Source organism: Homo sapiens, chromosome 12, assembly GCF_000001405.40.
Source record: "Homo sapiens chromosome 12, GRCh38.p14 Primary Assembly".
NCBI classification, from domain to species: domain Eukaryota; kingdom Metazoa; phylum Chordata; class Mammalia; order Primates; family Hominidae; genus Homo; species Homo sapiens.
Genome location: NC_000012.12, coordinates 115754463 through 115777290, shown reverse-complemented (window position 1 = coordinate 115777290; position 22828 = coordinate 115754463). Strand labels below are relative to the sequence as shown.

Genomic DNA, 22828 nt, shown 5'->3' with positions numbered 1-22828 from the left:
ATTTATAAACTAAGCATATGTGTAGTATGGGTGCATAGTAAAACTATTTCACTGATTGGATATACCATCAAAATGTACAGGTAACAGTTATTGGGGCTCCAGCATAAACAGGAAGTGCTCCATGCTCACAGATCCTCCCAGCTGTAATTTTCCTGCTGTCATGTCATTGCATGCTCTATTAGTATTCCTTTTCTATCCTTGGTGAAATATATTGTGACCATTTTCTTTTTTGTAGAGTCAAAATCGTGCTTTGTTTCCCAGGCTGGAGTGCAGTGGGACAATCATAGCTCACTGCAACTTTGAACTCCTGGGCGCAAGTGATCTTTTGGCCTCAGTCTCCCAAGTAGCTAGGACTATAGGTGTGCACCACCATGCCTGGCTATTTTTTAAATTTTTATTGTTGTAGAGACAGGGTCTTGCTATATTGCCCAAGTTGGTCTCGAACTTCTGGGCTCAAGCGATCCTCCTGCTTCAGCCCCCCAAATTGCTGGGACTACAGGTGTGAGCCACCATGCATAGTGGGTTGAGACCATGCTTTATTTGATGCTTAATATGGGTTTGGTACAAAAGAGGTGTGCAGTAAATGTTGAAAAACACATAAAACAAAGAAGAAAAAAAGGAAAGAAGGAAGGATAAGGAGGAGGGAGGAAGGGAAGGCAAAAAGGAAATGAAAAAGAAGGAAAGAAAAAAAGGAAAAGAATGAAAGTGAAAGGAAAAGGAAACAGATAAGAAAAAGAAAAAGAGGGAAAAAGAAAAAGGAAAGAAAAAGAAAGATGGTGAGTGCTTCGGCTTGCCAGCCCTTTCCCATGTATTCCTGCTAGACTGCCATGTTACTGGCCCCATAATGGGTAACCTCCCAGCTGGGGTGGGTCATTGCAGTGCTCACCATAAAGGAAATAATGTCTTCTAGGGTGAGTGTCCATGCTCGTGCCTAGTCTGCTAGTAAATTAATCTACTTACTGTCTACTGCTTAGTTTAATCTGGCATGTTTTATCCACTTTTTAAAAATATTATGTAACCTGTATGTTGTGCACACGTACCCTAAAACTTAAAGTATAACTTAAAAAAATTTATTTGTCCAACTTTTAAAAGATGCTGCATTTGACAAGATCTGTGGATGGATACTGAGACAAGTGGGCCAAAGTTGAAGGAGAAATAGGATATTTGCATGATCCCGACTATACTACCTTCCCCCAAGACATGTATTAAGTACAAAAGCATAAATAGTAATTTACAGTGGAGAAACCTGGCAAATGACACTAAGTAACCAAAGTTAGCATCACCAGTAATTAGACATTGTAACATCTTGAGCTTCTGGACACAATGCACTGAGAAGGACACAATGTCGTTTCTGTCATGTTCTTGTCCACGATGCATGACCCCAATCCAATCATAAGAAAAGTCAACAAATCCAAATTGAGGACCATTCTGCCACATAACTGGGCAGTCCTCTTTTAAAGTGCCATAAAAAGGCAAAGAAAGAAAGTGCAATTGTTACGTATTGGAAGGGATTAAGGAAACACGTTAACTAAATGTCAGATGGGATTCTGAATTGGATCCCGGAATAGAGAAAAAAATTAGTAAAAAATGGGTAAAATCCAAATACACTGTGTAGATTAATTGATAGTCCTGTACCGCTGTTAATTTCCTGGTTTTCATAATCATGCTGTGGTTATATAAGATGTCAACACGAGGGGAAGGTGGATGAAGAGTATACTGGAACTTTCTGTACTGTTTTTTGTACAACTTTTTATTTAAGACTAAAAAGGTAAAAATAAAACCCTCAGTGCTGCATCCTTATATAAAGGCCAATGATGTGGAATAACTGGCATTTTTACATACTGCTGGTGGGACAAAAAAATTGAGAATTAGATTTAGAGGAAAGCCTTAATTAAACATGTGAGCCCCATTTGACCTTGCAGTCATGGCTTCCAGGAATGGACTCCAAAACAAAAACAAAGAAATAAAACTGAGGATAGGGGTGCAAAGATGTATGGGCAAAGATGTCCACTGCTGTGTTGTTTATAATACTGAAAAACTGAAGGCAACCTTAATGTCTGTTACTGGAAATGGGGTAAATAAATTATGGTATATCCAAACAATAGAATAAATGGGTGACTGTTCAAAAAATGATGTCAATATTTTTATATTGCTATGGAGACATGCCTGTTTTATATGCAAGTGAAAAATTTAGTTAACAAAATAATATGTGTAGTATAATCTAGTTTATCTAAAAATGTCTTTAAAAGGCTGGACGAATACATCAAACTGGTAACTGTGGATATGGATGGGAGAAGGGATTATGTGGACATTTTTATTTTCTTTATATTTGAATTTTCACAATCATATCTGATGTGGAAAAATGAAGATATAGCGTTGAGAAACAGAGGCACAGCGGACAGGTGGGAGCAAAGGCAGTCGGCTCCTCCTTCTGTTCCCCCAGCCAAGTGGGGCTTTCCATATCTAATTCCTCACTTATCAAGCTCCATCTGCTGGAGCGGTGAATCCTGCCAACAAGAGATAATAAGCCTGTATAAAAGCTGCAGAATTGCAGGTACTTCCTGCTGACCAAGACCTCAGAGCAAAGGTTAAGGCATGAGTCTCATCTGAGTAATCTCCAGGCAGGTAGTGGCCATCTTGGGTTGGGCTCCTGAGAAAAGAGAATGCTGCTTCCTGGGGAGCCCCTGACTGAGCCTTCTTCAAGGGCTCAAGAATGGGAATGGGGGTCTGGGCATGATGATGACTCACTCCTGTAATTCCAGCACTTTGGGAGGCCGAGGTGGGAGAATTGGTTGAGCCCAGGAGTTTGAGACCAGCCTGGGCAACATAGCATGACCTCTCATTGGCTGGGTTCATAGCTCCAGCAGATGGAGCTTGATAAGTGAGGAATTAAACATGAAAAGTGCCGCTGTAGGCATGTGTCACCATGCACGGCTAATAAGAAATGTCATGGTCAGCAGGAAGCACCTGCAATTCTGCAGCTTTTACACAGGCTAATAAAATTAGCCGTGCACGGTGGCACATGCCTGTAGTTGCGGTTACACAGGAGGATAAAGTAGGAGGATAGCTTAAGCTCAGGAGTTGGAAGCTGCAGTAAGCTATGATTGCCCCACTGCATTCCAGCCAGGTGACAGAGTGAGACCCTGTGTCTAATATTTAAAAAAAAAAAAAAAAAAAAAAAGGAATAGGAAAGGAGGAAGGAATCCTAGAGGGTAGAGGAGGGAATAAGAGACGGTTCTCATGAGTCTGGATTCCAAGGTTGAATGACCTTGGGCCATAGTGATGAGTCTGGATTCTATTCTGGGAATGATGGTTCAGGAATGGGCATCGGAGGCCTGAACGGGCATTTGGGTGCCGTCTGTCCCCCTGGGAATGCTGCAGTGTCCCCTTAATCCTCTCTCACCTTATCAGAGAAATGCCTCCAGCATGGAAATTTCCACACAAGGACTGAGCTGTAGCCAGGTAAATAGAATGTCATCACTAGCCCCCCATGATAACATAAGCCACAGAGGCACAGAAGGGTGCAGAGGAGGGAGCACATTCTAGAAATGTAGGTATTTCCATGACTTCCTTCACATACCAGCAACAAGGGGGCTAGGAGGGAAAGGCAGTGACGTTGCTGAGAAGTGGTGGTAGTGAGCTTGGTCCAGAAACCTGCCATGTGCCAGCTGCGTGACTGTGGGCTCATCATTGAACTTGTCGAAGCCTTGGTTTCTGCCTCTGTGAAATGGGTATAAGAACAGGGAGTGCCTCAGAGAACTGTTGAGGAATCCAGTTAGCACAAAGCCTGGTGCTTAGTGCACGTCCAGTGACTCCTCCAGCTGGGGACTGCAGTCCACCCTCAGAAGAAAACCCATGAGCACCCGGGATGATGAGCTGCTGTGTCACAATTGTCATTGCTATTGCTAGTATTTTATGTCTATGAATCTCTTCAATTTATATCATTCAAGCTTCTGGGAATATCTTTTTAGCCTGAAGCTTGAAAGAAGGGTCTCCATAGTGGTTGAATGTGGCTTCAAATGCCCCTGATTTGAATAGTTTTCTCCCCAGTAAGGCACTCCTTATAACACCACCAATCTTCTCTACTCACTCCCACCCATGTCTTTGTTCATGCTATGCCTCCCTGCCAACCTGATACATCCTTTTCTTTTTTTCCTTATGTTCAAATTCTGCTAGTTCTTAGGTCCAGCCTCAATCATACTACCTCCCTGAAGCTTCCTCTAAACATTGTTTATCTATGCAGTATCTTTCCAAAGCCTTATATTTTAGTTACTCTATGGTTTCCATTGTGTATGTCAATTGTGTAGGTCTTGCCTCCTCTACTTGATCCCTGAAGGAAGAGAGATGAATCCTTCCTCATAACTGCAAAATGGCAGTAAGGGCTCCAGACCTCACATCCTCTCAGCCTCATGTTCAAAGGAAAGAGAACTTTGAGCTTCATTGGCCTGATTTGGGTTAAATTTTATCTATGAACCAATCATGGTATCCAGGAAATGGGCAGTATGACTAACTTAGACCAGGGATTGGCATATTTTTCTTAAAGGGCCAGATAATATTTTAGGCTGTGAACCATGTGATCTCTATTGCAATGACAAAACTCTGCTGTTAGTGTATGAAAAAAGTCATAGAAAATAATTAAATGAATTGGCATTGCTATCTTTGAATAAAACTATATTTGTAAAAACAGATGACTGACCCATAGGCTATAGTTTGCTGACTTGGCTTAGAAAGACCAATAAAAGTATTGTTTCTGGAGCAAGAGTAGGGTCATTAAGCCTTTCCAAACCATATGGACTGATTATATGGAGGGTCCACAAAGGAATTCAGGGACTATTTTACTATGAGAAAAGTTAAAGGGTGATGGGCAGAGAAAAACAACTTACTGACAAGGTCCATTGCCACATGTAAGAGTCTGTGAGCCATGAATCAGTATCCTTCAGTACCTTCAAGTAGATGAAGAGAACCAGGTTTGTCTGCTTAGGGAGCCACTTTACCCCCAAGGTGTTTTCAGAAGAACACCATGAAGTGGGAAGGAGAGAGCTGACTAAAAAGCTCTCACATTAATATGCAGCCTGTATCCTTCCAAACACTTTCAAACTTAGGATTTCAAAGTCTGCCTGCGAAACAGGAAGGTCAAGCATGTTATCATCCTCATTTTACAGATGAAGATGCTTACCCTCTAGGTATGACATGAAAAACTTGCAGAAGTAAACAGCACATTCTATTTTATTTCATTTCATTTATTTATTTTTTTGAGATGGAGTCTTGCTCTGTCGCCCAGGCTGGGGTGCAGTGGCATGATCTCGGCTCACTGCAACCTCTGCCTCCCGAGTTCAATTGGTTCTCCTGCCTCACCCTCCCAAGTAGCTGGGATTACAGGCACGTGCACCAGGCCTGGCTGATTTCTGTATTTTCTGTAGAGACAGGGTTTCACCATGTTGGCCAGACTGGTCTCAAACTCCTGACCTCAAGTGATCCACCTGCCTCAGCCTCCCAAAGTGGCACCACACCCAGCTGAAATAGCATATTCTAAAAACTGGCCATATAAGATTTGCAGCCTATGTACCACTGCTCTCCACCCCACTCTCATGGCAGACATCAATAGTCCATCACCGTACTTCTTCCCACTGAGTTCAGATAGTGTCTCAGAATCCTTCCCACAATAGAGCAGCCAATCCCAATGGATCAGAGTTGGCACATGAAAGGAAGAAACCCATTTGTTAGATTGGCTGACCATGTAGTAATACTTGTGGAATTGCCAAGTTACTTAGTACTACCACTTGCAGCTGTTATTTACTGGGTGCTTACAATCTGCCAGGAGCTGTGCTCATCTCATTTTTGTTTTAGAATTCTAGGCACATGTCACAGATGCCATGGTACACATTACCAGTCAACTCTGGTTTCAGCCTCAGCAGCAGTGGATAGTTCCCCCGTGAACTTAGACTCACCTTAAGCTGGCAGTCTCAGGGACTTGCTCTCTGTTTCTGCATTTGTCCTGGGTCATTTCTAACACTGAGCCTGCTAGGTGGCAGCCAAGCTCTGTCTAGGAGTGCAGGGACTAGCTGAATAAATACTCTAACCTCCCATTCTCCATGGGCATAGACCTGGGAGGCATTTCGTGCACTCCTCTGGAGGTCCCTGCAAAATCAAGACCCTGTTGCCTAGGGCAATGATCTTGAAAATACAGTCATAAAATGGCATTTTTCCTTGTCACTTGCTCACTCTTCCTTCTTGATATCACCTTCCAAGTAAATTACCTGTACACAGGTTCATGACTAAGGCTCTGCTTTCAGGAGAACACCAATGAGAACAATCAGGATACCAACTAGGGCAACCATGGACCCCATTTTACCTGTTAGAAAACGAACTCTAAGAATCCAGGTAGCTTCTTCAGGGTCACATAGCTGGTTTTTCTGATTCTAAAGTTCATGCTCTTACCCACCAGGCAGTTCTGCCTGATCAGCAGAACTTCAGATCACAGGTGGGCACCAAGGAATGGTGTTCAGATACATTCAATGCTGCATTTTGGCTGGTGAAAGAAACTGATTGGGTTTGACAGAAAGGAAGTCAGGCAGTTTTTTTTTCTCCTAAAATTAACCTTACTTTCAGTCATCCAATTCAGGAATAATCATGCTCACTCTAGGGAACTCCACCAATGTTTCAGAGCTTCTAGGTAATTAAAACACTTCATTAAATCGAATTCCATGAGAAGAATATGGCAAAGATAAGCATTTTTTTTTTGAGGCGGAGTCTTGCTCTGTCACCCAGGCTGGAGTGCAATGGTGGGATCTTGGCTCACTGCAACCTCTGCTCACTGCAACCTCTGCCTCCCGGGCTTAAGTGATTCTCCTGTCTCAGCCTCCTGAGTAGCGGGGACTACAGGCATCCGCCACCATGCCTGGCTATTTTTTTTTTTTTTTTGTATTTTTAGTAGAGATGGGGTTTCACCATGTTGGCCAGGATGTTCTCAATCTCCTGACCTTGTGATCCATCTGCCTTGGCCTCCCAAAGTGCTGGGATTACAGGTATGGGCCACCACGCCTGGCCAAAGGTAAGCATTTCAAACCACACAAAGTGGAAATAATGAGGAAGCATTCCTTTGTCTTTTATTTTAGCAGTTTCAACCCAGGCTAGCCCATAGATACAGAGAAGGGTAGAGGATGTGGCAAAGTGATGCTCTTCAAGGTATCATGGGAAACTCTTAGCTAGCTGGGTTGAGGTTGGAAAATGTGCCCTTTCGTTGACTATTTAGTTCTGAATGCAGGCCTGCTTGGTCAAAGGCCATTGTAGGTAGGTTCTTTTCAAATGGGCAATAGATGTCCAGTTGTCAATCTTCTGAAGAGGAAAAAGGGCCCTAGAATTGTGGAAGCAGCTGGGATGAAAAAGCCACATTCTGAAACTGTTCCTGACTGGACAGACCCTGGGAAGGTGAGCAGCAATTAGGTGGACGTGAGTTGAAAATTCGGGAGGAATGGCCACTCTAAAAGTTTCTCAATCTGAGGCTGAAGTTGGATGTTTGTCAATTTCTCAGGATAAACAGCATATCACAAAGTGGGAAACAGGCTGGTCCCCAACTCCACTTCTGTTCCTAGCTTTCCAGTTTACTCTTAAAAAACAAAACAAAACAAAAAGAGGAAAGCTGTCACATGGGTAAGATATTGCAAGCAGTTGGCTGCCCTGCCCTTCCATTCAATACATACCTCATTTGTAATACAAAGGAAAATTTCCTGTAGGTTAGTGACATTGGTGAGGATGTTGTAATGGGTCCATGACTGTGATATTTGTGCTCATACGTCAATTTCCAAAGGCATATACAATTTCTCTGGGACTTCTTTGAAAGCCATCGTAAAGATTAGTTTAGGGACTGTGTTGATTATTCCTTTTGTTGTCCTCCGCACTGCTCAGTGCCCACTTCCTGTTGGCTTTGGCCAATAGGAGGCACCAGCAGGTGACTGGAGGGTGAGGGAGAGAAGGCCGAGGCGTTTATTCAATCAACTTTCCACTCCCTGCCTTACTGTGCAATGACTGCCTGTCAAGGGGCCCCACTTCTAGAGATCCAGCATTTACCAGGCTCTGGTGACACCATTCCAACCCACACCGTTTTAAGCCCACGGGTGGCAACAGCTCTGAACTACAGCTAGTCCATGGATGCATCACCAAACCTTCTTTGTTCCCTTAACCCTGGCACATCTCTGCAAAGAGTCTGCTCATTAAACCTTCTTCTGATAAACTCTCTTCAAGTTGCCACCTGCTTCTTGCTGGGACCCTGACAGTCACAGAAGCCCTTCCCACAGTATCTTATGCATGTCCTTCCTAGCAGTACCATTGAGAATTGTAAGTAGAGCAGCTATTTAGCAAAGCACTCATGGGTTCAGGCATTGGAGTCAGACAGATCTGGGTTTGAATCTGGCCTTTATTTTCTTTTTACTCAATCACCAACTGTGTGACTCAGTTTCTTCATTTGAAAATGAGGATAATAGATCTGAAGTTAGAGTTTTTGTGCCAATTAAATGAGATGATGCACATTAAGCTTAGCAAGCATCCACCGTGTGATAAAGCCTTGATGATATTTGACTGTTATTGTCACTGTTATCGTCCTTGCCTCATTATCTGTCTACCTCCTTAAGTTGAGGTGATCTCCTTGGTAATGTATTCCTGTCTGATTCATCTTTTCAGCCTCAGGGCCCCCTAAAATGCCTTGTAATTTAGGTGCTCAAAACATATTTGTTGTTTGTTTGTTTTGAGACAGAGTCTCGCTCTATCGCCCAGGCTGGAGTGCAGTGGCACGATCTTGGCTCACTGCAACCTCTGCCTCCCAGGTTCAAACGATTATTGTGCCTCAGCCTCCCAAGTAGCTGGGATTACAAGCACCTGCCAAAATGCCCTGCTAATTTTTGTATTTTTAATAGAGATGGGGTTTCACCATGTTGGCCAGGCTGGTCTCAAACTCCTGACCTCAAATGATCCTCCTGCCTTGGCCTCCCAAAGTGCTGGAATTACAGGCGTGAGCCACTGTGCCCGGCCTCAAAATGTATTTGTTTAATATAATAACATCATGGCAGAGACAATACCACGAGACCGCCAAACTCTGCCTCATTTTCCTCTTGCCACACAAGAAGACTACATTTCCCAGCCTTCTCTGCAGCTGAGACCATGTCCTTGAGTTCTGGCCAACAAGATGTGAACAAAAGTGATGTATGCTCCTTTCCAGACTGGGCCATAAAACCCTGGCATGGTCTTCCAGTTCAAGAGCCAGCAAACGTTTTCTGTAATAATAGTAAGTATTTTTGGCTTTTTGGGCCATGAAGTCTCTGTCCCAACTACTCAACTCTGCCACAGTAGCACAAATGAAGCCATAGACAATATGTAAATGGATGAGCATGGCTATATTCCAATACAACTTTATTTACACCAATAAAGAGATGGTGAACTGGATTTGGCCCACAGGTTGTAATTTGCTGAGCCCTTTACTAGTTACTCTCTCCACGTTTCACGGAAACCCTGGAAGCCAAGTGTTGCAGATGCTGAGAATGCCAAGATAGGGGGCCTGGGTCACTGAAAGTCTATAGGGAGCAGGGTCCCCCTGCCCCCACCCCCACCAGAGTACACCATGACACGAGCTTCCATTGTGTTAGGTTATTAGATACTGTGGATGTTTGTTACAGCAGCAAACCTATCCTGACTCATAGATCAATGATCCAGAAACCAAATGCTCATGTCTGTAGCTGGGAAGAACAAAATATAAGAATTTAGATTGAGACTGCTAGAAGGATCATAGTAATTACAGTAAAAAAAAAGTTCACATATTCAGTATTTTGTGCTTTTTAAATCCTCAGGAGCACAATCTCATTTGTAGCCTCATAACAACCCCACAAGTCAGGCTCAGCAGATGTCATTATCTGCATTCTATATATAAGGAATTGGAGGTTCAGGAAAGGGGATGACTTGCTCAAAGGCATGTTGCTGGTAAACCACAGAGCTGGGTAACCCATCAAAGTCTCCATTCTCCTGGGGCAGTGAACTTCCCACCACTCCATGCGGTTATCTGCTATCCAGGGTATTATTTCCTTAATTTAAATAAGACCTCAGACTGCCAACATTTACTGATTCTTACTGTGTGCCAGCACCTGCTGTAAGCATCTTGCATATGTCATCTCATCTGAACCTTGGAGAGGTTAAGCCACTTGCCCAAGACCACTAAGTTCTTAGGTGGCAAAGCTAGGATTTGAACCCAGGTCACTCTAACTTGAAATTTGGTCCTCTGAGAACTGAAATAAGGATTTTTAGTGGGAGAAACCTCAGCTGCTTTTAGCCTTATCACATTTTAAAGCACTATTTAGATTATTTATTCAAAATATATTTGTAGATATTCCACCTGGTGGATTATCCACCTGTTTCAGGTGCTGTGGTAAGATCAGTGAAGCATACAGGCATTCTATGTCCTTCTCTTGTGGCACTTAGAGAACAGTGAGGTCTTGGTGATAGTCAGCTCAGGGACAGTCGAGGCTCAAGTCACCTGTGCATGGCCTAGAAAGCCTAGAAGAGCCCCACTTGAATTCCATCGAATGCATTCTCCAAAGGAGCAGGGGTTTTCTATTACTAGAGAAGAGGAAAAGATACGTGAATTTGACAAAACAACAATATCATTTATAGATGCTTTACACTGTTGGAGAAGGTGGGAATCAAGAAGGATTCCTGGAGAAGTGACATGAGTAAGTTAAGGAGGCAATGAGTGGGCAAGAGGACAATAATGGTATTGTCAATAAGACCACTCCAAGGAAGAAGGACAGCAGGCTTAAATGCCTGGGGGCTGGGGAAACAGAATTTTGGTGCAACTACAGCATGGATCAGAAGGGATGGGAATGGGAAACAAGTAAAAGTAAGAGATTAAATTGAAGAGACCCAACAATGAATGGCCTTGGCTACCATGTTGAGTTCTTTGGAACTGATCTTGTGGGCAATGAGGAGTCACTGAAGGGAGACAAGGAGCGTGACATGATCAGATCTGTGGTTCAGAAAGATGACATTGAGAAAGCCTGTCTCATTCACAGCTGTGCCTAGAAGAGTGTCTGGCATATAGCAAATGTTCAAGAAATATTGTTGGAATAAATAGCTTAAGCACAGATTGCTATGAGAACAACAGAACAGTCAACTGACTCCTAATTTCTGCTTTATTGTTTTTCTTGACCAAGAAACCAACCTAGAACCAATCTGGAAGTCAGGGTCATCAGAAACTCTGTCTTTCTCCCCCAGGATGAAAAGTAACGCTGAGAGTATGTTGAAAAGCGCTTTTAGATTGCGGATTCAAAGCAGTGCAAGTGACAAGAATATTATCTTTCATTTTCCTCATTCTCTCTGCTTTCAAAGGCCTCTGTCCTGCTTTATACCACATCCATCAGACACCCTCATTTTCATATCTTCGCCTTTGTAATAGCAAGTGGCTGAATGTTGCTAACTGCCTGCCCTCTATGCACAGAGGCACTGGTTCCTGGAAATGAAGGCAGCTTGCTGAACATCGGCAGCCACTGTCCTGGGGATGTTTTCTTTTAGGATCAAGCTTTACCTACAAGCCTGAAAAGAAACATCGTGTATCAGGATGTCTTAGGGTCAATTCCAGACCTTCTGGGCTCAGGCAACCCCCTTGACATATCAAAGTACTGGCATCCAAACTTACGTGTCATTGATGGAGACCATCTGATGTAGTTTTAATAAAGGAAGAGAACTGGCAAAACGCAGTGGCTCACGCCTGTAATCCCAGCACTTGGGGAGGCCGAGGTGGGCGGATCACGAGGTGAAGAGATCGAGACGATACTGGCTAATGTGCTGAAACCCCATCTCTAATAAAAATACAAAAATTAGTTGGGCATGGTGGTGCGTGCCTGTAGTCCCAGCTATGCGGGAGGCTGAGGCAGGAGAATTGCTTGAACCTGCGAGGTGGAAGTTGCAGTGAGCCAAGATTGTGCCACTGCACTCCAGCCTGGCGACAGAGCAAGACTCCGTCTCAAAAAAAAAAAAAAAAAAAAAAAAAAAAAAAAAAAAAAAGAATTTAGGTGACACAGATCTGGGTTCAAAACTCCAGACTCTGCCACATACTAGTTGTGTGGCAACTTAATTCCTGTATGCCACAATTTTCTCTCCCTGAAAAATGGACATATCTATTCTGTTTTGAGATTATTTGGGGTTTTAAATGAGCTAAAGTAGAAAAAAGTAGTAACTGTTTGGTAAAGCATAGCCATTTATTTCTGGAGACATTCAAGCTCATATGTTATTGATGCGTGAGCCACCATATGAGTCAGAGACCCAACTGGGACAAGATGGGAAGCAAGTGGCAATTTTGGGCCTATTTTCTCTCAGTGCTTCTCCCTCACCTGTTTTCTCCTTAATACCCCTTTTCAGATCTGTTTAAAATTTCTAAGTAGTAGATAGTATGTGTGTGTGTGATGGGATATGGCAGCAATTGTGGAATGCTGGTCAAAAGTCTCTTGGAGCTCTGTTGATTGCAAATGATAGAATCCAAGTTCAAACCCTTATTGGCTTAATACCTGGAAATGACAGGTATAGAACTGGTTTCAGCAGCCCACCCATGAGATGAGGGCTCGTTTTTTCCATCTCTAATCGCAGCTTCTCTGTTGATCATATTCTCCCCTCCAACGGGTACTTCTTTTCCATGGCACAGTGGGTCACATGGCAGTGGGACAAGGTCACAGGAAACTCTAAGTTTCTATCATCTCAGCTTACCATCCTTAGAGGAAAGAGGACCCCCTTCCTAGCCACTTCAGACCATGGAAGGGCTCTCATTGGCCTGTCTTGGGTCACATGTCCACTACTTGAACCAATCACTGCAGCCAGGAGATGGCTTACTATACCATGATTGTGCAGGCTTTGGTCATGGGACCCATGTCACACGTGATTGTTGCCACTGTGGGGTTCTGTGATTGGTGGTTCCATTAGAATCACATGGAGCTGGGGAACTACATTCTCCAAAACCCTGTTTTATGTGGGAGGGGCCCTTTTACCAGAAAAAAAAAAAAAAAACAAACAAAAACGGTAGAAGGGAGGCTGGGCAGACAACACTAACGATGTTATCACTGCAAACATTTCCCTTCCTGTTTTCTCCCTGCCTTCTGCAAGAACTAGGGGATCTGTGCTTGTGTTTGTGCTCTGTAAACACTGGCTCTGTCAGGACCTGCTAGAGCTGTGGATAGAGGTTTGAGGAGCATGAGTTTGGGCTCAGACATGTCTGAGATCAAATTCCAACTTTTCTCCTTACTGGCTGCACTGCTTTGAGCAAGGTACATAACCTCTCTGAACTTCAATTTCCTCATGTGTAAAATAGAGATCATAGGTGTCCTAATATGATAGTTGTGAAGATGAAATAAAAAGTGTTTCAAAAAGTGGTAGCTAGTATAATAATAATTACTATTATTATATCATCATAATTATTATTTTTAGGGCTGATGTGACACTCTGAGAAGAGTACCTAAGAGAGGCTTGACTCAGTGTTAAGGTTAGATTAGAGATGATCTAATCTAATTACTTCATTTTACAGATGGAGAAACTGAGGCCCAACAGATAGCTTGACCCGTTTGCATGAGGTTGAACTGAGGAATTGCAAAGATGAGTTTTTGCAGGAGACTGAGCCTGGAGCCAGTTAGCCTCGCTAAGAGCATTCAGAAATTATGAGGCCACAAAAATGCTTTTTGGCTTGAAGCGTCCAAATGGGCCCCACCCATCTCACAGACAGTCAGGCCGCCTTCTCCTTGCTACTGGCCCCTGTGTTTCCAGGCTGGTGAATACAAATCTCTTTTTTTTTTTTTTAAATACTTTGTTCTTGAAAACTTTAGGATGACTGGGTCTTTTTATGTGGGAATTAGAGCTTCAAAAACCTTGGTTTTTGGCGTATTCCTCTCCCCAACACCTATATGTGTAGTTTTCTTTCCCCTCCCCTCCCCTCCCCTCCCTCCCTTCCCTTCCTCCCTCCCTTCCCTTCTTTCTTCCCTTCCCTTCCTTTCTTTGTTGCCTTTATTCCTTCTTTCCATCCCTCCCTTCTTTGTTCCTCTTCTCTTTTAGTATTTAAACATACAATGCCATGTTCTAGGCACTGTGCCAAGGGTGGGGTCAAAAAATCACTCATCTTTACATTTACAGTATTTCTCAAGTTCATCTTCTATGCCTGGCATTGTACCAAGGACCCTGGGCACTAAGGATGCAGCAGGAAATGCAGCAGACTTCATTTCTGCTCTTACAGGGCTTACATTTGAGTGTTTTCTCTTCAAGAACCTGGACGTTTAGTCTAGGTTGTGTCTTCCGTGAGAAAGGCTGGCGTTGGGTAAGGCTGGAGAGGTGAGTAGGACCAGAGCATGGTAAGACGTTTGGAGTTTCTTTTGAGGGCAAGGGACAGTCACTGAAGTATTTTTAGCAGATGCGGGTCACTCTTGGGCTCGTATTTGAAAGGGGACACTGCTACCTGCCCACCTCTGTAGCATCATCTCACATTATTCCTCTCCTCACTCTCTGGGCTCCCATCCCTCTGACCTTCTCTTACTTTCAGCAATGTGCTGTCCTTCTACCACCTCCAGGCCTTTGCAGAAGTCTTTCCTTCCACCTGGAAAACCCTCTTCCCCTCTTTGCCTCGTGAACTCCTCATCCTTCAGTGTTCAGCTCAAATGTTCCTTTCTCTGGGAAGTTTGCCCTGATTTCTACCTCCATCTTTCCCTGCTGAACTAAGCCAAATCCCTGATCTATGCTCTCAAAGTATCTAGTACTTCTACGTTTCCTTGCAATGATCACAACTGAAAACAATTATTTGTGTAATTGTTAAATTTAGTTTTTTTTTTTAAGAAAAAATATTCTTAGGCTATAAGCTCCACGTAGATAGAAGTTGGGTCTGTCTAATTCATTTTTACACTTCCAGCATCCAGGATTTGTCGATTTGCAAATATTTGTCGAATTTAAAAATGATGACCAAGGGAATGAGAAAGTGAATGAGTGAGAGAGTGAATGAGTGAATGAATGAACGAGCAAGTGAATGGATAAGTAAATAATAAATGAATGAGTTATCACCTACGATATTTGGGATGTGACCAGCCTAGGAAGCCTAAATCCTTGGAGCTCCTATGTGTTTTTTTACCTGACATGATAACCCCTCCCCGATCTAGTCTATTATTGTTTTTTTTTTTTTGTTTGTTTGTTTGGTTCAAGACCTTATGAATCGCTTACTGGTCTTGCACTCACATGCCAAGTAGAAAATAGTTTTCATCTCTGTGTCTACTCTGATTGATTGCTCATGGCTGCTTGGAGCTCTAGGATTCAGAGACACTGGGAGGCTGCTTTGGGCTTGGTGGAGAATGCCACTATCTGTTAGCAATGTCTGCCATGGATAACTCAGGGAAAATGTATTGCCTGTTCTTCCTATTTGTTAGCCTTGGACTCCTGGGGCAACTGTCCCCTGATGGTGTGGTTCCTTTGAATCCTAAAACCAATTTCTCTCATTATTAGGAAAATTCAGTGCTCTTTGGGAATCTGTGCTGACCTAAAATGTCAATTCTGCTGCTACTGCTTGGCATGTAGCATCTATGTTTTTTTTTTCCTCTTTCTCATTCTGTTCTTTTCCTTCAACTCTGGTTTCTCACATGGTTCATCACAAGCCCCTTGAGGGACCACTTAGCCCCATCTGGAAAATGAAATTGACAAATTCAATGGATTATTTTTATCTCTTGGGCTGAAACCAGAAAGTAAATCAATTCCCCCAGGGAGAATTTCTCAAAATGCAGTGTGAGATCAGCTGCACTCAAATCACTGGGAGCTACTTATTGGTTAAAAAGTAGCTTTCCTCAACTCACCTTCTCCCCTTACCTCTCAGTTAAACATCAGATGGTGGCATCGTCCATAAAAGGCAGGGTATGAGGTCTGGTGAGGACAAAGTGATTTCTCTGGCATTGTAAAATGAGCTGGGGGTGGAGGAGAAAAGGCTGAAGCTGCTGGTTCTCAGCTCTGACCTGCAGTTCCCAGCTTCCTTCAGCTAAATCCTACTCCACTTATTTTTAGCATGGGGCAATGGAAAAGGCAATGGGCCAGCACCAGGAAATAGATTTCTAGTCTCCACTCAGCTGGTTATTAGCATGTGACTTTGGGGCTTCAATTGTCTCATCTGTAAACTGAGTAAATTAACACCATTACCATCAACCCTTTTGCTAAGAACACCACTATCACCATTATCACCCCAATCATCATATATAATCGTCATCATTCCCATCATCACCATTTTCACCAACATTATCATGCCATCATCACCATCAACATCACCATCATCCTCATCATCAACTCCATTACCATCATCCATATTCTAGGTACCACTTACTAAGCATTTGCTGTGTGCTAGGCACTTTGCTGTTCGCAATATAAGCATCTTCTCACTTAATCCCCACAACAATTCTATGAGGTATGTATGTATGTGTTAATACTATTATTCCAGTCTTACAGATGAGGAAAGTGAGGCTCAGTGAGGTGAAGCCCCACTTTCCCAGGAAGTTATAGAGCTTGAATCAAACCTAGGCTGGTTTTTGTTCTTAACAACTAAATCACGAAGGCTGTCTAAATGTTCACTTAAGGTTCACTCTACATTAAAAAAAATCCTAGTGTCTTTTCAAGTTTTGCCATCTTCTGAATACAACCAGATATTTTCTTAATTAATGTGATATTTTCTTAAAAAACATGTTTCTTGGTAGAACCAGATGCATTAAATGATAAGGCTATTTTATGAAGCCACTGCTAGAGGACCTTCCTGGTTTTGTCCATGGGAACCTGAGGCTCACTATGCCTTGTCCCTGGCCACATACCAAATTAGGGTTAGTCCAGGATGCCAGTTTTCCTCTGCGCAGGCGGAAAATTGGCAATGAGTCCCTTGGTTAATTTTCCCCGTGTTTGTAGAGAAGAATTGGAAAACAGGATTTGGGATCCGTGAATCTGGTTTCAAAATCTGGCTGTTTTTTCTTGGTTGGTAAGTGGTTCAGCTCTCTGGGCCTCGGTTTCCTTACCTGTAAAATGGGGATCATAGTACCTACCTCATTGTGTGATCACAGGATTAAATAAGATAATGTATTCAGAGTGCTTACTTAGCATAATACCTGGCACATAATAAATACTTGCTACATCATGATTATAAGACCATATTATTATTTTTTTGCAATGTAGTTTATAAATATATATTACATACAATATATACAATATATTATTCTATTTTGTATTAACTATCTCTCACTGCTTTTTTCTCTGCACATCATATTCCTCTACTATGCTATTCCACTAGAAGTAAAGGCCTAATATAAAGTGAACTGAACCCAGGATTCCCTTTTTAACTCAGCCTGCAGATTTTCAATGCGGCAAGGTATTGCTGGAGGCATGTGGCGAGGTGCCTCAGGAAGCCCTCAGACTTGTGCCTGTGTGCGGCTGAGAAATTGACTTTTTCCCCCCAGTCAAATTATTAATTAGTTGCCTTATTGACTAATTTCTAAGCACTCAGTCAAATTGAGTAACCAATCTAATTTGGACGGGAGAGCAGAGAAAAGCTTTAGTTCATCCATTTTTCAATTGGGTGCATTTCATTGTCTGGAAAAGAGACTTGAAATAAGGTACCTCAAATCCTTGTTCAAGCATGGAAATTCCGGGGACTGTAATTATCGAACTGTCTTATCTTCATGTCTTCCACTACTTGATAAAATAGGGCAAAAATTCCCTTCCAGTTTAAAGATGGGAAGAGTTTGAAAGGCTAATACCTCTACTAAGGTTAAATATTCAATATTGAAGGCCCACTCTGTGTTAGATACTTTTGTTATTAGTAATCGTTATTAGGCACTGTTACAGAATTCTTACGTATTCAAACCAAACTGGGCATCAGGAATGGAAAGAAGTGGGCTGCCATTTTTTTTAATCTCTGTATTTTTATGTAGCTCTTTGCTTTTAAGGATTCCCAAATCTTTGAAAACAACATCTCTAGCATCTTCGAAGACAGAAGGCAGTGAATATCGGTGCTGTTTAAAGGTAGGGATATTAAGGCCCAGAAAGTCTGAGCTGTTTTCTGAAAAGTGACAAACAGTTCCCCAAGTCTTTGCATTGGCAGGGATCTTAAAACAGCCTTTGAGAGGGAAACAAAGACAAAACATCAGGGTTTGTAGACCTGACTGCAGGGCAGGCACTTTCTCTTTCCTTTTTGGGTAATACCGATGGGCAGTTTAGCTTCGTGGACGAGAACGAAACAGTCCCCTATATTCCCTCATAGGAGTGGGGCCAAGGAGGGTGGCCCAAACCCCAGCCCCTTCTCTGAAAATCCTCTTAGGGGAAAACCAAAACAAACACAGCATAGTTTGGCTTTTCATGTGGGGGGAATTGCCTGGCACCACCCCTCCATCCAAAACATGCTTTTGATTTGGTTTTATTGGCTACTGAAAAGAATCATTTAATAGTCAAGAGCCAGGCAGTGACAAAGGGTTCAGGTAAATTAGTTTCAGTTCTTACGTGGACTGTCCTTCTTCTTTGGAATTTGAGCTTTAGAAAATAAAAGCCTCCCCTACCACTTATTCGCTTTACCCCTCCTTACCCTTAAGCCTTTTAAAAAGGATTTTTCTTCCCCTTTCTAAATCTCTTCAAAAAAGAGTTTCTTTTCTTTCATACAGAGGGGTTGGGGAATTACATTTGTCAAAATATCCTAACATCAGTGCGTGAAGAAAATTCAATGAAATCCAAATTAAGTGCATTAAAAAAAAAGTGTTTTTTTTCTTTTTGGCCTGGACCCTTAAAATATGCAGAAATACACCAAAAGAGAGCTTCAAAGCCCATTTTAATAACTAACTACATACCTGCTGAAAGCATTTACTCACAGCTCCCGCTTTCGCTCCAGTCCCAGATGCTTAAAATGCAGTTAAAGTTTAAGCTTTTAGTATTAACAATCACTCACACAGAAGCGGCATCCATAAAATCTACAAGCCCAGTCTGCCATTACTTCATTGTAATTAACAATCTAGTAGTAAAGTAATGATCTCGAAATCTACAAATGGTATGGCACTAGAGGTTTAAATATTTGACAATGTGTTGGGTCCTATAATTTGATTCTGGAACTGAGACTTTCCTGAAGGGAAGACTCCCTAACAGTTAATGTATTTCTAGGCATAGACCAAAAGAAATCCATTGACAATTCTGGGTCCCCTTCTATCCCAGTTCTCCAGCTTTTCATTCCATCTGTGTTTTCTCTTACTTTCTCTGTATCCCCAGTTTCTCTCAGCTCAAACACCCTGCTATTCTGTGATTCTTCTCTCTCGTCCAATACCCTTCCCATTGAAAAAGAAATTCAGCTTATCCAGAGATAGCATCAGCCATTGGGATTAAAATGCAGTATATACGTTTCAGGTGATGTGCTGGAAAGATCAGCAAAGATATAAAATATCCAAGGGAAAACAAAAGAAAAAAAATGGCAGGCAGTCTAACACCGGCTAATAGTTAAATAACAATTTGATGTTTAGACATAAGAGGCTGAAGTTAGGAAACTTGAGGTTCACCCATACATTCTGGGCTTCGAAATCTGCCATCAGTAAAGGGGCACAATGGTGTGAATTTTTAGCCAAGCATCAGTTGAACCTTGAATTTCCTGGGTTTTTGTTGGACCGTATCACAGTGAAACATTATATTCTTTTCCCCCAAATATATATCTGATTTCCTTTACAAAGAGCAAAAAATATTTTTCCCACCAAGCTACAAGAAAACACATGTTATCTTTCCCAATAGGGCATCATCTATTATTGGTCTTTTGGAAAGCTAAAAAAAATGCTTCAAACAATATTCTAAACCCGTTTATTGTGTTTTGTCAGATGAAAAAAACTGATTTTGATTTATTATTTCATGTAGATATTATATAGACATTTGTGTTCGACATTTCCTGAGAAATATTTCCGTTTCTGAGGTCTTTTAAAAACGCACTTTTAGAAAACTTTATAATTTTTTTCTGTGCATGTATGTGTGGTGGCAGATGAGGAATTCTTTTAAGATCCTTCATGTTTAAGATGTTTAGTAACTAAAAATAATTTACTGGGAAATTATGAACTTTATAAAAGACCAACATTTGCTGAGAGTCAATTGCTTCCAATAGCCTTTTATTAAAGCCATTTTTCTATTCTTTCTTCTTATAATTACAGAATGTTTTAAATATGAGTAATTATACCTTGACGTATCTCGTGATTTAAAATGGACTTTTGAGAATGACGGCAAAGTGGTTTCTGCATTTCGTAATTCAATACAATCAAAAACAGTTAAAAAATATGTATACAACTGGATGTGTTATTCTTTCAAAAATCAGTCGTAAATATAGACCTTTTTTTGGGCGGGGAGAAGGGGTGGGTGAAATTTCAGATTGGAACGAAGTTACAACCCACATCAGGAAAATCGGCCCTTTAATGAGAGAAATGAAAAAGTCTTAATCACCAAAACCCCTCCAAAAATGACACTTTGAATTACATCAGAACTCTACATGGCAATGCAAAACGAGAGCCTTTCATCTGAAAAGTGAAATACTTAATGATTTCAATCAGTTCGTACCTCCCCTAATTTGAGATCTGCATAACGTATTCAGTGCCTGGATTTCTTTCATATCTCTAAAATATTTATAAAAACAATTCATTCTCTTGTTTTCTACCTACCTCCCCCCCTTTCAAGATGAAGGTAATTTGTTTTCTCTGGTAGAAGTTGCAGAGGGCAGCGGGGGATTGGGGAAGAGCAGTGTAGTTATAGAAAGCACCAAATGGCATTTCCAAGCTATCTGAGAATATTAACGTTTGAGTGTGTCAGATCTGCCCAGGGGCAGGAGGCTTAAGATCATTTTTCTCCGCTGAGGTTTAATGATTGAATGCATTTTGTCTGAAGGAAAAAAAAAGGAGGAAATAAATTTTTTGAAAAAGGTTTATATTTACAGAGAGTGCCTAACGAACTAGTTAACATTCTTACTATCAGGAAAGCCTAAACCATTCATAAATAAACCATTTTAAACCACCTTTACCCACATGCAGCACTCTTTCTTTCAGCTCCCTTTAGCAATTTGAAGTACAGGAGATTAAAGTCCTTTGGAAATTTCCAAGGTCAGACCTCAACTAAAATAGGATTAAGGGGGTAAGGGCGGGGGGGAGACAAAAATGAAGAGAAAGGTCTTATTCCCTTTTCCCCCTTCTCCTAACTATCTGAAATAAATCGGAAGTTATTTCTCGAAATCCTCCTTTCCCCTGGCCAGTGGCAGCTCTTCAAAAGCTTCTGAGACTGTTTAAAATTTTTCCTATCCCTTCCTCCCCCCATTGTAAGAAAAACAAGTAGAGTGAGGAAGGGAAGTTAAAAGGTTGACGTTAGGGTCCCTTCTAGGCAATACTCCAGGGAGCACTGTGACATTAAGAACTTTTGCTGAAAGCAGCTGCTAGTTTGATCATTACTGAAAGAAGAAAAATTCTGCAACATTGCAACCATTTTCTCTTTAGATGTTCCAAACCAGTATTCCAACAAAGGAAATGAAAAAGGGAAACCCACTCTTTCTCCCCTTTTCTTTCTGTGTTCCATATGTAATGTTTAATTTCGGCACCAAGGACATACAGCTTTGAATTAGAAAACACACAAAGATAAAACAGCTCTCCTGCCCACAACTCTGTAAATGTTTCTCTTTCTTTCTTCTTCCCTTCCTTCTCTCCTTCCCTCCCTTCTTTCCTTCCTTTTCTCTTTATCATCCCCCCATAAATGTTTTCCTCTTTCTTTTCCATTTTGCCTTCCTTCAACTTCTCTCTCCCTTGCTTTCTTCCCCCATCTGTCTTTCCTTCTCATTTCTAATTCCTCCCTACACATAAACAACGACAGAAACCACAACATCTTTCAGTCTACCTTGGTTGCATTTGTTCTTGCTCTTAATTTGATCCATTCTTTTACAGTCTTCCTGGACGTTGCTTGCCTTTTTGTTCATCAGATTTCAGCAAGGAGAGCTGTCTCGGTACATTTTGATAGATCTTAACAGTAATTATGTAGGGACTTCAAAGCAAAACTACTTATGTGCGCTCTCTTTTTCTCTATCTTTCTGCATGCGAGCGTGCAAACACACACGCTATCTCAATCCTAACCCCACTAAATCCATACAACAAAAAAATCCTTTTTAAACAGGGCAGAAAATTATGTGGAAATTAGCAGCTGGTATTTCGAATGTATGGTGATTGCAGAAACCTCCCCAAATTTCTGGGGGAAATAATGAAAGGACCCTATAAAGAAATAGTGCTTCTTATTTGACTAGTCTTCATTTAAAATGTTTTCAGTCATGCTTTGAAATTTCAACATTTTAGACTAGGGATCATGAATAACCTGCAATGATAAAAAAAAAAAAAAAAAAAGAGGCTGAGAGATAAATTAAATAGGATCTGCCAACATTGGGTCTGGTGCTGACATACGATTATTCCTAAATTGAATGATTTGGTCCTAGCAAATTTGTGCCTTTGAATAGGCCATTTTATGGCAAAGTACAAATATTTTAAAGAAGAGTTTTACGTATTAAATATTAAAAAACTAGACACAATTCTAGTTTTGTGTCTGCCTTTAAATAATCAGAGTTGGGCCATCAGGTTTCAAGGAAAAAACATTCATTCAATGAAATAATGAATAGCAAAGCTGGATGTTTCATTGACGAAATGTTTTCCAGGGATTTTGACTTTATTATAAATGAGGTTTTATCTCAGGAACTAAAAATACTAGAAAGGAAGGAAATCAACGAAGGGGCTGAAAATACTAGGAAATATTAACCAAGTCCTCCCCTTGAAGAAAGATC

General features: G+C 41.5%; 1 long non-coding RNA gene across 2 annotated transcripts in view; it reads left to right on the top strand.

Annotated features, from left to right (window-relative positions):
- The first annotated feature begins 14225 nt into the window (after window positions 1-14225).
- Window positions 14226-22828, top strand: part of LOC105370003 (uncharacterized) — a 389555-nt gene continuing 380952 nt past the window's right edge. For both annotated transcript variants that reach the window (XR_945389.3, XR_945388.3), the window contains exon 1: window positions 14226-14343. This is a non-coding gene — a long non-coding RNA (uncharacterized LOC105370003). The remainder of the gene's footprint in view (window positions 14344-22828) is intronic.